The sequence below is a fragment of the Homo sapiens genome, chromosome 14, assembly GCF_000001405.40.
Source record: "Homo sapiens chromosome 14, GRCh38.p14 Primary Assembly".
Taxonomy (NCBI): domain Eukaryota; kingdom Metazoa; phylum Chordata; class Mammalia; order Primates; family Hominidae; genus Homo; species Homo sapiens.
Genome location: NC_000014.9, coordinates 23,511,518 through 23,526,844, shown reverse-complemented (window position 1 = coordinate 23,526,844; position 15,327 = coordinate 23,511,518). Strand labels below are relative to the sequence as shown.

Sequence of the window (15,327 nt, the reverse complement as noted above, 5' to 3'; positions counted from 1 at the left end):
AAGGAATGGAACAGCAAACCTCCCAAGGTACCAGGAAAGGGGACTCCATGGGCCAACAAGGTCTGAAGATGACTGAGGCCAAGGTCAACTGCCTTGGTATTGAGTGGGTGGGGTCTGGCTTAAACGAAGTTCCCTCCTCATTGTACTTTCTTCTCTCTCCCCTAGAAGGCCCTAACCTGACCCCAGAAGCCAGTCCAGATCCTCTTCCTGAGCCTCCCCTGGCCTCAGTTGAGGTCCCAGACAAACCCTCAGGAAGCCCTGGCCAACCCCCTTCTCCAGCCCCATCTCCAGTCCCTGAACCTGATGCCCAAGCTGAAGACGTAGCTCCTCCGCCCACCATGGCTGAGGAGGAAGAGGGGACCACTGGGGAGCTCCGCTCTGCAGAGCCAGCTCCAGCTGACTCTCGCCACCCTCTGACCTATCGGAAAACCACCAACTTTGCCCTGGACAAGTTTCTCGACCCTGCCCGGCCCTATAAGTGCACTGTGTGTAAGGAGTCCTTCACCCAGAAGAATATTCTGTTGGTTCATTATAATTCTGTCTCCCACCTTCACAAGATGAAGAAGGCTGCCATTGACCCCTCTGCCCCTGCACGGGGAGAGGCCGGTGCCCCACCCACCACCACTGCTGCCACAGACAAGCCCTTTAAGTGCACAGTCTGCAGAGTCTCCTACAACCAGAGCTCCACCCTGGAGATCCACATGCGGTCAGTTCTGCATCAGACTCGCTCTCGGGGAACCAAGACTGATTCCAAGATTGAAGGGCCAGAACGCAGCCAAGAAGAGCCCAAGGAAGGCGAGACAGAGGGGGAGGTGGGCACTGAGAAGAAGGGCCCTGACACCAGTGGCTTCATATCTGGATTGCCTTTCCTGTCCCCTCCCCCACCTCCCTTGGACCTGCACCGATTCCCAGCCCCTCTCTTCACCCCACCAGTCCTGCCCCCCTTCCCTCTGGTGCCCGAATCACTGCTTAAGCTCCAGCAGCAGCAGCTGCTCCTGCCCTTCTACCTCCACGATCTCAAGGTGGGGCCCAAGCTGACACTAGCTGGGCCTGCACCTGTGCTGTCCCTGCCAGCTGCCACCCCTCCTCCTCCACCCCAACCTCCCAAGGCTGAGCTGGCTGAGCGGGAGTGGGAGCGGCCCCCCATGGCCAAAGAGGGTAATGAGGCAGGGCCTTCCTCACCCCCCGACCCATTGCCCAACGAGGCTGCCCGCACTGCAGCCAAAGCCCTTCTAGAAAACTTTGGCTTTGAGCTGGTGATCCAGTACAATGAAGGGAAGCAAGCTGTGCCCCCTCCCCCTACCCCACCCCCACCTGAGGCCCTCGGGGGTGGGGACAAGCTGGCCTGTGGGGCCTGTGGGAAACTCTTCTCCAATATGCTTATCCTCAAGACACACGAGGAACATGTCCACCGCCGCTTTCTGCCCTTTGAAGCCCTGAGCCGTTATGCTGCTCAGTTTCGAAAGAGCTATGACAGCCTATACCCGCCCCTTGCAGAGCCTCCCAAACCTCCTGATGGGTCTCTGGATTCACCTGTTCCCCATCTGGGCCCACCCTTCCTGGTCCCAGAGCCTGAGGCAGGGGGGACCCGTGCCCCTGAAGAGCGAAGTCGAGCAGGGGGACACTGGCCCATAGAAGAGGAAGAAAGCTCCAGAGGGAATCTTCCTCCCCTGGTGCCTGCCGGCCGCCGGTTCTCCAGAACCAAGTTCACAGAGTTCCAGACCCAAGCCCTGCAGTCTTTCTTTGAGACTAGCGCCTACCCCAAAGACGGAGAGGTGGAGCGACTCGCAAGTCTGTTGGGTCTGGCTAGCCGTGTGGTGGTGGTGTGGTTCCAGAATGCCCGCCAGAAAGCACGCAAAAATGCCTGTGAGGGTGGGTCCATGCCAACCGGAGGAGGCACTGGGGGAGCCTCCGGCTGCAGGCGTTGCCACGCCACTTTCTCCTGTGTTTTTGAGTTGGTGCGCCACCTCAAGAAGTGCTATGATGACCAGACCCTTGAAGAGGAGGAGGAAGAGGCAGAGAGAGGGGAAGAGGAGGAAGAGGTGGAAGAAGAAGAAGTAGAGGAGGAACAGGGCCTTGAACCTCCAGCAGGGCCTGAGGGCCCATTACCAGAGCCTCCAGATGGGGAGGAGCTGAGCCAAGCAGAGGCAACAAAGGCAGGAGGCAAAGAGCCTGAAGAGAAGGCTACTCCATCACCTTCCCCAGCCCATACCTGTGACCAGTGTGCCATTTCTTTCTCCAGCCAGGACCTCCTGACCAGTCACCGCCGACTACATTTCCTGCCATCTCTGCAGCCCAGTGCTCCCCCCCAACTCCTAGATCTGCCCTTGCTGGTGTTTGGGGAGAGAAACCCCCTGGTGGCAGCCACCTCACCAATGCCAGGTCCACCTCTCAAACGGAAGCATGAGGACGGCAGCTTGTCTCCCACAGGCAGTGAAGCAGGGGGAGGAGGGGAGGGCGAGCCCCCCAGGGACAAGCGCCTGCGCACCACCATCTTGCCTGAGCAGCTAGAGATCCTGTACCGTTGGTACATGCAGGATTCCAACCCAACACGCAAGATGCTCGACTGCATCTCCGAGGAGGTGGGGCTCAAAAAGCGAGTGGTACAGGTCTGGTTCCAGAATACCAGGGCCCGGGAGAGGAAAGGCCAGTTTCGAAGCACCCCTGGGGGGGTGCCTAGTCCAGCAGTGAAACCGCCTGCCACAGCCACCCCTGCATCCTTGCCCAAGTTCAACCTCTTATTAGGCAAGGTAGATGATGGCACTGGGAGGGAAGCCCCAAAGAGGGAAGCACCTGCTTTTCCCTACCCCACTGCCACGCTTGCTTCTGGGCCCCAGCCTTTCCTACCACCTGGGAAAGAGGCCACCACCCCAACACCAGAGCCACCTCTACCTCTCCTACCTCCCCCTCCACCCAGTGAGGAAGAGGGCCCAGAGGAACCACCTAAAGCTTCTCCAGAGAGTGAGGCTTGCAGTCTCTCTGCAGGAGATCTGAGTGATTCATCTGCTTCCAGCCTAGCTGAACCAGAATCCCCTGGGGCTGGAGGGACCAGTGGGGGACCTGGAGGTGGGACTGGGGTTCCAGATGGAATGGGGCAGCGGCGCTACAGGACCCAGATGAGCAGCCTGCAGCTGAAGATCATGAAAGCCTGCTATGAAGCTTACCGCACCCCCACCATGCAGGAGTGTGAGGTGCTGGGAGAGGAGATTGGGCTGCCCAAGAGAGTCATCCAGGTCTGGTTCCAGAATGCTCGTGCCAAGGAAAAGAAGGCCAAACTACAGGGGACAGCCGCTGGGAGCACTGGGGGCAGCAGTGAGGGCCTCTTAGCAGCCCAGCGCACTGACTGCCCCTATTGTGATGTCAAGTATGATTTCTATGTCTCCTGCCGAGGCCATCTCTTTTCCCGTCAGCACCTGGCCAAGCTCAAGGAGGCGGTTCGAGCCCAGCTGAAGAGTGAAAGCAAGTGCTACGACTTGGCCCCAGCACCTGAGGCTCCCCCAGCTCTCAAGGCCCCACCTGCCACCACACCTGCCTCCATGCCCCTCGGGGCTGCCCCAACCTTGCCTCGCCTGGCGCCGGTCCTCTTATCTGGCCCAGCTCTGGCTCAGCCCCCGCTGGGCAACTTAGCTCCTTTCAATTCAGGTGAGTAGGGAGGCTGGGAGGAGCTGGACTTCAGAGAACATCCCCCTCTAATGACATGCCCTTCCTTTTCCTTCCTGATTCTTCCCATGCCCAATCTCCTGTGGCCTTCCTTTGCATCAGGCTCTTGGGGGAAAGAAGGGAGGGAAGGGGCATGGAAATCCGGTGCTGGGAACGGGTGTGTGTGGCTGGAGGTGGCCTATGGCAGGAAGAATGATGGGACAGGAGATGGCTAATCCTTCATCCTTCCTTTCACCTTTCTAGGCCCGGCAGCCTCCTCAGGCCTCCTCGGCCTCGCCACTTCGGTCCTGCCTACCACCACAGTGGTCCAGACTGCTGGCCCAGGCCGCCCCTTACCTCAGAGACCCATGCCCGACCAAACCAACACCTCCACAGCAGGCACCACTGACCCTGTCCCAGGCCCTCCTACTGAGCCCTTGGGGGACAAGGTCTCCAGTGAGCGAAAGCCAGTTGCAGGCCCCACCAGCTCCTCCAATGATGCCCTCAAGAACCTCAAAGCATTGAAGACCACTGTCCCAGCCCTGTTGGGGGGCCAGTTCCTGCCCTTTCCATTGCCCCCTGCTGGGGGAACAGCACCGCCAGCTGTCTTTGGCCCCCAGCTACAGGGGGCCTACTTCCAACAGCTCTATGGCATGAAGAAGGGGCTATTTCCCATGAACCCCATGATACCTCAGACCCTCATTGGGCTGCTCCCCAATGCCCTCCTCCAGCCGCCACCCCAGCCCCCTGAGCCCACAGCCACAGCACCTCCAAAGCCTCCTGAACTGCCTGCTCCAGGGGAGGGGGAAGCTGGTGAGGTTGATGAGCTGCTGACAGGCAGCACTGGCATCTCCACCGTGGATGTAACCCATCGCTACCTGTGCCGCCAGTGCAAGATGGCATTTGACGGGGAGGCCCCGGCTACTGCCCACCAGAGATCCTTCTGCTTCTTTGGGCGGGGCTCTGGGGGCTCCATGCCACCCCCATTGCGGGTGCCCATCTGCACCTACCACTGCCTGGCATGTGAGGTGCTGCTGAGTGGGCGTGAAGCCCTAGCCTCCCACCTGCGCTCCTCGGCCCACAGGCGCAAGGCAGCCCCACCTCAAGGGGGCCCACCCATCTCCATCACCAACGCCGCCACTGCTGCCTCGGCTGCTGTGGCTTTTGCCAAAGAGGAAGCAAGATTACCTCACACGGACTCCAACCCAAAAACTACGACTACCTCTACACTTCTAGCTTTATAAACAGATTAACCAAGATGGGGAGAGGGGAGGGCCTCAGGGCTCCCTCTTTTACCCCAAGGGGTGTTCGGTGGGAGCTCAAATCCCTCACCCCACCCCCTGGCCCCGCCCACCTCACAGGAACTGTTCAGTTCCCACCCTCAGTGGGCACCACACACCCCACTTCCAGCAGAGTCCTGCCTCCTCCCAATCCCCACAGACACACACATTGATCCTCCTCCTCAGCTCCTTGCAGATGTAGCCCTTGCCCATCTTCACAGACACATACACCCATCTTGGCACCCTGATTATTCATACATGTCTGCCTACCACACACAAAATATATCCTTGGTTCTATCTTCCTTTTCCTCACTGAATTCCCAGCTCCCCATCCCCATAAATGCATACACATACATGCACACACACACGTTATCCCATGATGTTCCACTGAGAAAACACCAAAAAATTTTGAAAAAGAAGATAAAAAGAAGAAACGAAAAAGAAAGCCCAAGGCAAAGAAGGGGGAAGGAAAACAAACTTCGCCACTCTCTCTTCTCCTTCCTAACCCTTTGTCTAGAGCACCACACCGCTCACAAACTCTTTCCAAATGCTCAGTTGGCTCCCAAAGTTGGAGCCTGGCATGGGCAGGGAGCCCACAAAACTCTAACCAAACTGGAGGCTGGCATGGGAGAAGTGCTTCTGGTTCACTCTTCCTACCCTCTCCCTCCTAACCCTCTCCTTGCCTGACAGGGGAGCCCCTGTGGCCTGGACTCTAGGGGATGCCGCCACCAGAAACCCCTCTGCCAATCCCTACCTTGCACCCTGGGAACTGCAGTAACTTATTCTCAAAGGCTTTAAACACAGAGATCCTCTCAGCGGCCGTGGGCCTGCCCCTTGTCCTAGCCCTGCCACGTGAGGGTCCAGCCTCCAGGGACAGGCACTGCCCACCAACGGCAAATCCAAAGTTCTTTCAAAAAAAAAAACTGAAACACAACCAAAAAAGCAAGAGCGAGAGAGAGTACGTGCACACGCGCACAAAAGAGAGAAACGGACACCAGAGGAATGAACTAAAGAAAAACGTAAACTTGGAAAATACAGAAAAAAAAAAAAAGGAAGAAAACTCCCATCAGACAAGTGTTTTTTTTCCTATTTGTGTCACTCCCTGCTCCCTGTCCCACCCCCACCCCCCCGGTTTAAGGGTTTCTTTAAACCACCTCATCTTTGGAAGACCAAACAGCTTTAGCTCCTTGCTATGGGTCTGGTGGTCCTCGAAGGGCCGATGCCGGTGCAGCCCTCCCCTGCTATGCGCAGCCTCCAAGGTGGGAGCTGGCGATACAGGGAGAAGAGCCTGAACTCTGGGGAGGGACATGTCCCCGCTCCCTGAGTTGGGTATTTATCAGGACAGGTAATAGCCCCTCATTTCCAGCTATGAGTTAGAAAAGTCAGTGTCACCAAAAGTATCTTGGCAGTCCCAGGAAGAAGGGGGTGAGTGGGGTATTTAACTTCTGAATCTGAGATCTGCTTCTCTTTCATCTCCTGCCTTCTCCTTGCATTTACCTTTCTCACAAACTCCTAACCCTGCTGCCCCCCTGGAGGCCCACCTTTGCTGGGTCCCTTGTTCCCTTCCCCCCAGTCTCCTTTTCTTCCCCCTTGTCCTCTGCCCTTGCTCCTGCTCCCTCCAGTCCAGCCCAGCCCAGCTTCTCCGTTAAGCAGCAGCTGCTGGAGGCATCCCCAAGGGAGTCGGGACCCGTCCATGAGACTCATGGGGTTCTAGAGCTGACACGAATTGAGGGGATGGGGTGGGCAAGGAGATGACTGAAGCACAGGTCAATCTTTGATAGGGTGTTATCACCAAGGGAACCAACAGAACCTAGAAGAATGTTCTGTACCCCTAGGCAAATGGTTTCTGTAGCCATCAGGTGAAAATTCTGGCAACCCTAAAGCCCAGCTAAAGTAGTGTGGGGTAGAGAAGTCCATGTTTTCTTTTAGCAAAGAAAAGTCTGCAAAATTCCTCGTCCTCCAGGTAGTTTTTCCTACTACTCTTGTCCCTAAGACCACTTCTCTTTCAAGGTGTTCTCCTTCCATCCTCTCTCCCCTCCAGGCTGTTGCTCTATCATTATCCATTTCATATTCTCATACAAATTCAGCCAGCCCTGGGATTTAGGTTTTCTGCTCTATCAGTCACATCACTCTGTGAACATGTTAATACTGAAGCAGTGTCTTACATGCAGACAGAATGGGAGGGGACAGAAAATTCAGCTCAGTCAGTAGCCCCCATATATTCCATGAGTCTCACTTCCTGTCCCATTCACTTCTGAATAACTCCAACTCTAACAAATTAGGGGTGGGGTGGAGTTAGTTTTCTAACTAACAGCAAATTAGGCGGAGTTAGTTTTGTAATTCCACCCCAATTTCTGATACCAAAAATGCCAGTCACAGATCTAGGCAACAGGAGAGAAACTGGCCACCGGGTCTTGTGCTCACTGCCACCTTCTTTCCCCGCCTCTCTTGTACCCCTCTCTCCCTGTCCTTTTCTCTCTCCTGTTGAAATTCTATATATAAAACTATTTTCTTAGCAGCATGTATCTGAGGAAAGAAGATTCTTCACTTGTGCTTTCTGGGAATGTGACTTGTGTATAAAAGTTAGAAACCAAAAACAATTTAGAACAAAAACAAGACAAAGGAAACGTTTTAAAGAAAGCATCGACAAACACCTGGCATGGAATGATTAGAAGTGTGGTGTGCTGTATCTTAAGGATTTCAGCCAACTTCAGTTTGAACTATGAGTGTTTTCACCGAGAGTTGATGTAACCAGAAATCCCCCCTCCTCTTGTCACGCAACATGTTCTTTTACACCTAACACCCTGGCCTGGCAATACCACGTGCGGTCCCAACAGTAGATATGAGCTGACTCTAAGCAACTGTACTTACCTGGAACCCTGGAATTTGGGGGCAAAAGAGCCGGGCTGACTCTGCTGACTTAGGTCAATTAACATGCTTCCTGAGGGGGCACCATTCCATGTTCCCAGTGGCTGGAAGCATTCCTTCCCAGTCCCTTTCTCACACCAGAAGTCCTTAGCAGCAGCAGTCCTGCTCCAGAGAGCAATGCACAGTGGGCATTCTGGTGGACAGAAGGCTGAGTCAGCACAATCCTTTGCAGAATCCTAGAGGCTAATGCCAAGTCACCAGAATTAAATCATGGTATTTCTCCTGTGGAGTAACAGCCGTAACTCAAGCATTTGGCACAATAACACCTATTTTACAGTACCTCCCCCACCCCTAACCCTAGGGCTTGGCTTCTAACATACACTCGTCCTTAAAGAGGCACCCAAATTGAGCTCTGCCCTACTTAACGACCAGGGTCAGACCAAGAGGCGGTGGTGAAAGTGATCTTGGCTATTTTTGCTCTAAACCAGAGTCTGTGTGAGGATGGTGTAAGGTGTCCAATCCTCAACTAGGAACAAAAAGATTGCTAGAAGAATATAAGAAAATCTGAAGCCTTAATGGCCAAACAAGACAGAGTTTGCAACAGGAACCACATAAAGAAATCTGTTTCTATCCCACCCTTCCAGCCCTGGAGTATACTTACAGAAGTAGGCTTAAGAACCAAGCAAGCCTTTTATTCCAGGCATAATAGCACCCATCTGCTTAATTCTTTGTATTTGTTTCTTAACCACTCTCAGGGCTTATAGACCAGACCACTGATTCTCCAAATCTCCACCACTGTGATCTGTTTTAAGACAGTCATTCATCCCTGGAAAGATATGTAAATCTGAAATATAGAGCTCCATATATATAACTACACCAGTGAAACAAACAAACACACCCTCAGAAACAGCAGCAGACCCCAGCAGAGGGGGCTGCAGGGAAACACACCAGTGCCAGCAAGGATGGGGCCCCATGGGCATATGTATAAGTACAAGGGACATATCCCAAGACCCATGACCTATACTCCCATAAGCAGAAATACCCTCCAACACACGCTAATTTTTCTCACACAAAAGTAGGTAGAAAAAGCTTATAAACAGAGAAAGTGAGAGGAAAAAGTAACCGGTAAGAGGAAGAGTGACCAAATGTTGAATATTAACATATGGGGAGAGGATCTGCTAAGGAGTGTGTAACAACTCACCTGCCAAATCAACTAGCCCTGAAAATGGATGGGCATTGGGCCCATACCAAGCTGTTGCTGGCAGTCAAGAGGGGACAGGGGGATGGCAGCAGTGGGGGCACGCACATGGTTGAGGGGTCCACTCCCCTCCTCGCAGTCACAAAAAACAAACAAACAAACACACACACACCCGATGGGGAGAGGACCGTAAATTATTCTGGACATCAGGGAAGAGATATGTAGGAGGCAAATTAGGAGGAAACTTTTGGGAAAACTCATATGATGTCACCATGAAAAACAGGGTAAACTTCTGCGAATGGCCAGGTATTGGGGGACAATTTCTCTCAGAAGCAACCAGTCAGAAACTTATAAGCCATGAAAGCGTCATTTCTAGGAGACTGAGTTGGGAAGAAATGCCTTTATACTGAGAAAGCTCTTGCTACAGCAAGTCTGTAGACCCAGCCTCAGGGTCTACAGGATTATAGCTCAGATACATTATAAAAAGATCAGATGAAGGCAAATTTGAGAGAGGACATTTGCAGAAGATCTTGACCATGGCCCATCAAGTTTGGGGAAAGATGGGAAGTAATCATGAAGGTAATTCCTCTTGAGAGAAACTATATGTTATGGGAAGAAGATAAAATTGCGTGATTCAATTGCGTGACCACCCAGTGACGCTCCTTCATATATGGAACCCAGACAGCCCTCACACAAAGCACAGACAAGGGGTAAATGTCATTATTCTCTGGCAGTAGTCTAAGTATGGTATTTCTTGCAATTCCGCAGCCATGGAAAGAAGTCTGGCCAGAAGCTAATGGGGAAGCAGGTTGAGTATAGGTAGACCAGAACAAGCTGAACCTGTCCAAGAAGAGGGGGAAAGGTGATGCAGCACCCGGGGTTGACTCCTAATCCCACCCAACTGCACACATATTCTTACACAAACAATGGCTAAGACACCACAACCAGTAATCAGCAGGGGCTCAGCACTGCCCCATATCTACAAGTCCTCCCTGATACCAAACCCTGCACTAAGTCTTCTCAATTGGATGTGAAGAATGACCCATGCTGTGCTCATTTCTAGATGTCCCCACCAAGTGCTCAAACCACAGCATCTTCTGCCATTTGCTGAGTATCAGCAGTAGGCTGAGTTGTACTCTGTGGACCCCTACTTCCATTACCCGGGACCCAGGCCTGCCTCCAGGACCCATCTTGTACCTAGCCACAAAATCTACACAATTTTGACTTGATCACAGAGAATAATCTCTTGACAATGTTCCTAACCTAGTGATTCTCAATGATGAGGTTTCAGAAACCCACGGGCAGCCAGCCTTCAGAATCTGTGGGTGAAGAAAGAGTGAATTTTCAAAGTGTTCCCTAAAGGATTCTTCTGTGGTAACTACTGCCAGTGAGGATCATTGTTCTAACAAGTTACATTCGCTGGATTCAACCTCACAATCTCTCCTTTTCCTCCCACTGCTCCCACCCAAAACGCATACACACACCCCACAACAAACATATCCCAAACATGTCAGCATAAAGACATGAGTAAGTCTGGGGAAGACAGATGCAAAAGGCAAGGGAAACCCTGATTGGATCGACCATCCTAAAGGTGACTGCCATCTCTCAGAACAGTGTTTTTCAACGTTTCAAGTGTCCACTTGGAACATGAGTGCTTATGTAAAATGCATATTCCTGGACCACACCTAAGACCAACTGAACCAGAAACTCCTGAAATGATTCTATGCCCTCTGAAGTTTGAGAACCACTGACCTAGAGAGCTTAGCACCATATCTGTGACCTGCCCCCATCTCTTCAGCACCCAGGGACCAACCCTGCTACCCCAGGGGCTACCACACCAGGGCTTATCATAACCTCAGATTTGTTGACTTCATTACTCTGACATCACCCCGACTCCCACCCCCAACATACTGGAAACTGACCATGGTCTTCTGCTCACGTTGGCTGTTCTTGAACAGGAGAAAAGATAGAAACATTGTCCACTCACCACTTTGGCTGAGTGCCTCCCTGCTTTCTCCTCTGCTGTGGAAAACACCTTGCTTCTTCTGAAGTAGCCATACACTTCCAGAGATGCTGAAATCAGAACTTCCCCAGCCCTGAGCAGCTCAGCCCAGCATGGACTTTACTCCTACCTCTGGGCAGGTCCTATCTCCCAGAGCCACCCAGCCTCCCCTCCACATCACCCACAGCCAAATCTTCCAGATCTTCTAAAGATCTGCCCAGTCACTGGGAAAGCCAAACCTACTAGAAATTCTTTCAGATGGGGGCTCAAGGTCTAGTTTTCTGAGGGCTAGTCTGTATCACCACAGATGCTGGGGATTCTCCTCCTAGGGGCCTTCCCCTCTACCAGGGATCATTGCTTATCCTCAATCTCCCTTCTTGGGATGGATTTCAAAGATATGGAAATCTATCCAACTCTAACTGGGTGCCTTGCATAGTCTTTCTGGAAGGACAAGTCCCTTTGTCTTCCTAACACCTGTCTACCTCTCTAGGCCTAGAGCACCTTTCCATCTTTCTAGGACTATTATTGAATATGGACCTTTTAACAAGGGAGAAAGAACCAGTTCATCTCAACCACAGCTCAGCAAATCACAAGGCACAAGGCAGAATGAAATATGCATAAGTACAAACCACCCCATCACCCAAGAGCAAGGTCTGAGGGTCACTCCTTCCTACTTCCCTTCCAATCTCTTCTTGTGCCATCCTGGTAACAACACAGCTGGTGTCCCTCTCTCCACCTCCTTTTGCTCTCCTAGGGTTTTGTTGTTGTTGTTGTTGTTCTTGTTGTCCAAGGATATGTATGGTCCACTAGCCTGGAGCCTTGGGTGTGTCTACAGCCTGTGCTCTAGCCTGTCCCTCTGTGCTTGTTTCCTTTCGCATGGTGCTCAAACACTCAATATGGTACCATCTAAATCCCTTTCGTGGGGGCAATAAGGGTAGGAAGGAGGTGGATATCTAGTTGGGAGGAAGGCAGAGCTGAGATTGACCAGGGAGTGCTGACTCAGCCCAGTTGTTAAGGGCATCCTCTCATGCCAGTTCCCTGCACAGAGCTCCACCCAATGCCTGGCCACCACTATGTGCACAGCCCCCTCTCTCTGACTGCTGCCAAGTGGCATCATGAGCATGTTTGGTGGCTTTGGGTTTGCTGCAGTGCCAGGATCTGAGACACTGTTCACGTGCCAGTGCAGCACTGCCAAACGTGGCAGCATCCAGTTGGTTGGGTGCCAAGCAGTAGGACCCAGGTGGTGATGAGAGATGAAAGCGGGGTGAGGCGAAGGGAGGGGGAGGAGAGGAAGGTACCGAAGAAGAAAATCAGACACCTCACTTGTTCAAGTGGAGAGTCCAAATGGGATCTGCAGAAAGGTACCCTTCCCATTCTAGAGCCCAGCTCAGCAAGCCAGCCCTTCCCTCCTTCCACCCCAGCAAAAGTGGCATATACAGACCAGACAAGGGGATCTGGCCATCTTCAGCAGGGAACTGGCTGGGGGCCAGGCAGGACTGCCAGCGCTTTCCATCCTTCTTCCTTGGGGTCTTGGCAATGGTGTGCTTCCTCCTTTGTGTCTTCATGCCACTCTCCGTCTGTTGCTCCACTCCCCATGCCTAAGAGGGAAGGGGAAGGAGGACCTGGCAGAAAAAAATCTGGTCTCCCAAACACCCCACCTCCCGAAATGTTTCACCTCCTTCCTTCTCACTCCTGGCACAATAGCCCTCTCAACCAGATTGGCAAGAGGCACTGTCAACCTCCCCTGTTCCACACAATGCCAGAGCCTGTGCCAGGTGCCATGGGCAGTGCCAGCACCCACCCACCTCACATCTGGTCCTCTTGCTGTCTCCTTCAATACTCTGACAAAGGGCCAGATTGCCAGCCCCAACAAGTTCTCCCTGGGTACGGTGGCACACTCCCTCCTCCCTGGCTCGTAGACTGTTTCTTGGCACTTCCCTGGCTACTCTCTCCACCACTTTACTTCCTCAAGCTGGAAGAGCACTAATCACCTCATACTCCAACCATTTTTCAGAGCTGAGCTTCTAGAGGGACAGCAACATCAGAAACACATTCTGCCCCTCCTCCCTGCTTCCTGGATCCCCCAGTCTCCATTGCCCCAGTTCTGGGCACCGGCCTGACAGATGTGATGCCAACAGCTCCCATGTACAAAGCCTTCCTCCCAGAGCACAGGACTCCTGCCGCTGCGCCCTCCACTCGCCTCCTCCCATCTCCGTGGGCACAAGGGTGGCAGCTACAATGCCAATGCCTGTAAGCAGGCAGCATGAAGCAACTCATGCACCCTCTTCTCCCCTCCCAGACCCCAAGCCTCTCCCCTCCTTCTTCCACTCCATCCCTCTGTCCTTCTGGTTGTACACTAGATTGGCAACCGCAATGCCAACCCCCACCCATGCCCAGGAGGCTCACATACAGCACACGCTTATGCGTACATGTACATGCGCGCACACACACATACACACACACACGGCCCCATGAGTGCCAGGCAGCGGTGGCAGACACACAGCAATGCACAGTGACTGGTACCCGAGGAGGCAGCCGGATTCAGCACCTGATCCAGCACCCGTTTGGGATTGGGTGGGTAGGCGGGCGGGCGGAGGGGTGATGGAGGCAGACGATGGCCCTAGGTTGGCAGCCGATGGAGCTGGGAGAATGGAGGGAACAGATGCTCTTTGCCCAGCCTCCCTCCCTCTCTCTCCCCGAGATCAGTGCCAAGCTGGGGGGATGGGGAGAGGGGAGGATGGGGGAAGGGTGGCATTTGGAGAGCTGGCAGGCGGAGGGAGCTGGGTCCGCCCAGGCTGGGCAGTGCCGGCACTGGCTGCTGCCTCTCCACTCTGCCATCTGTCTCGCTTCTCTCCCCACCCACTTTCTCTCTTTTTCTCTCTCTCTCCTTCATCCACAGCAATACGAAAAGAGGAAAACAGGGTCCTCATTCCACCCACCCCCAACCTCTGCCAGACCCCCCTCTTTTCCTCCCCACAACTCACCACACCATACCACCACCAAGCCATCTGTGCTCTCCTCCTGGCTCAGTCACCTTCTTTCACTCGCCTTCGCCCTCACACCAGAACGGGTGCAATTTAAAATATATATATATATATGCATATATACATATATATGCATATATATATACACACACACACACACACATATATATTTTTTAAAGCAACTTAAAAGAAAAACTCTTTTCTTTGGGAATATCCTATCCTTCTGAGTCTGGGTCCTCAGTACCAATATTTATGGCAGGCAGAGGGAGGGGACCCCGTTCTCAGCTGGTGCCCATGAATCCCATGCCAGGGAGGAGGGGTGGCTGGGGTGGGGTGGGGGTGGGGTGAGGTGGGGTATCGGGAGAGCTCGCTTCTCTCTGCGCCTGTGGTTGTTTCTTTTTTTTCTCCTCTTCTACTTCCGGAGCAGATTCAAATAGATCTAGAGCCTTCCCCACCCCCAGCCGCACAGCCCCAGTTCCCAGGGCCCCTGTGCCCTTCCCTGCCTGCTTTTGATTCCTCGATCACCCTTTCCTTTTTGTGTGTGTGTGTATACGTGTGCGTGCGCGCAAGTGTGTTTGCATCCATGGCGGTGGGCACTGTGCCAGCCACCGCACAGCCATCTGCGATGCCTTCTGCAACCTCTGCTATTTCTCCCTGTCACCTCCAGCCCCCAACCCCCTGCACCCCAGCTCCCCAGCCCCCAGTCCCCAATCATTAATTAGCTACTGAATTAATTAAATCGTGGATGCTAATTAACATTCCTACAGGGCAGGCTGCCAGGCTGGGGGTGCAGAGGGGATGTGAAGAGAAGTAGAGATTGGGATGGGGGAGGAGGAAGGAGAGCCAGTCTTCTTAGAAGAACAGCGGGGAGGGAAAGAGAACCCAAAAGAAGGATGAAGGAGGAAGAGAGCTGAGTGGTGATGGACAGGTTGGGGCGGGGGAAGGAGGAGAATAGACATGGAAAATGGGGTATAAAACTGCAGTCCAAGTGAGCGCCACCGAGCCTTCTTACCCAAATTAAGACTCAGCCAGTTCCTTGTCTTCAAGCTCATTTCCCCACCCCAGCCTAGAGAAGTATATTCCTCAGGCAGCTGACTCCAACAGTTGCTTCTCCTATAGAAAACCAACCCCAAACCAGGGAGTCAACAGCTACTATTTGTCAATTCAGCCACACTGACCCTCAGACCAGGTCACCAAGAGAACACTCTGGGCTCAGAGGGGTCCCTGTTGACTTGCCCTTGTCTACCTCTCTGTCAAGGGGAAGGAGCATTCTAGGAACATCTGCTGCAGGGAGACATGGGAGATCAATATAGGGAAATGTGAGGGTATCAAATCAATGGGAATTATTAATAGCAG

The 15,327-nt window shown here is 53.1% G+C and overlaps 2 protein-coding genes across 16 annotated transcripts in view, besides 1 other annotated feature; one reads left to right on the top strand and one right to left on the bottom strand.

Annotated features, from left to right (window-relative positions):
- ZFHX2 (zinc finger homeobox 2) overlaps positions 1–5,988 on the top strand; it is a 35,096-nt gene extending 29,108 nt beyond the window's left edge. For all 14 annotated transcript variants that reach the window (XM_047431824.1, XM_011537245.4, XM_047431818.1 and 11 more), the window contains 2 exons: positions 166–3,642; positions 3,904–5,988. In XM_047431824.1, coding sequence (XP_047287780.1) covers positions 166–3,642; positions 3,904–4,883 — 4,457 coding nt within the window. In that variant the 3' untranslated portion in view covers positions 4,884–5,988. The remainder of the gene's footprint in view (positions 1–165; positions 3,643–3,903) is intronic.
- The window catches only part of THTPA (thiamine triphosphatase), a 48,512-nt gene extending 33,427 nt beyond the window's left edge, over positions 1–15,085 (bottom strand). The window contains exons 1-4 of one of the 2 annotated variants that reach the window (NR_046051.1): positions 14,984–15,085; positions 13,972–14,035; positions 13,511–13,628; positions 12,429–12,609 (exon numbers count right to left, since the gene is read on the bottom strand). The gene's annotated coding sequence lies outside the window, so the exon portion shown is untranslated. Of the gene's footprint in view, positions 1–12,428; positions 12,610–13,510; positions 13,629–13,971; positions 14,036–14,983 lie in introns of those variants that run through there. The other variant, NR_046052.1, reaches the window with a different exon arrangement.
- Positions 1,268–2,119: an enhancer, noted in NCBI's record as "H3K4me1 hESC enhancer chr14:23993935-23994786 (GRCh37/hg19 assembly coordinates)". NCBI's record gives its function as "activates a minimal SCP1, AML or CMV promoter by ChIP-STARR-seq in naive H9 embryonic stem cells {active_cell/tissue: H9 hESC(naive)}" and the evidence as "EXISTENCE:reporter gene assay evidence [ECO:0000049][PMID:30033119]".
- Positions 15,086–15,327: the final 242 nt, after the last annotated feature.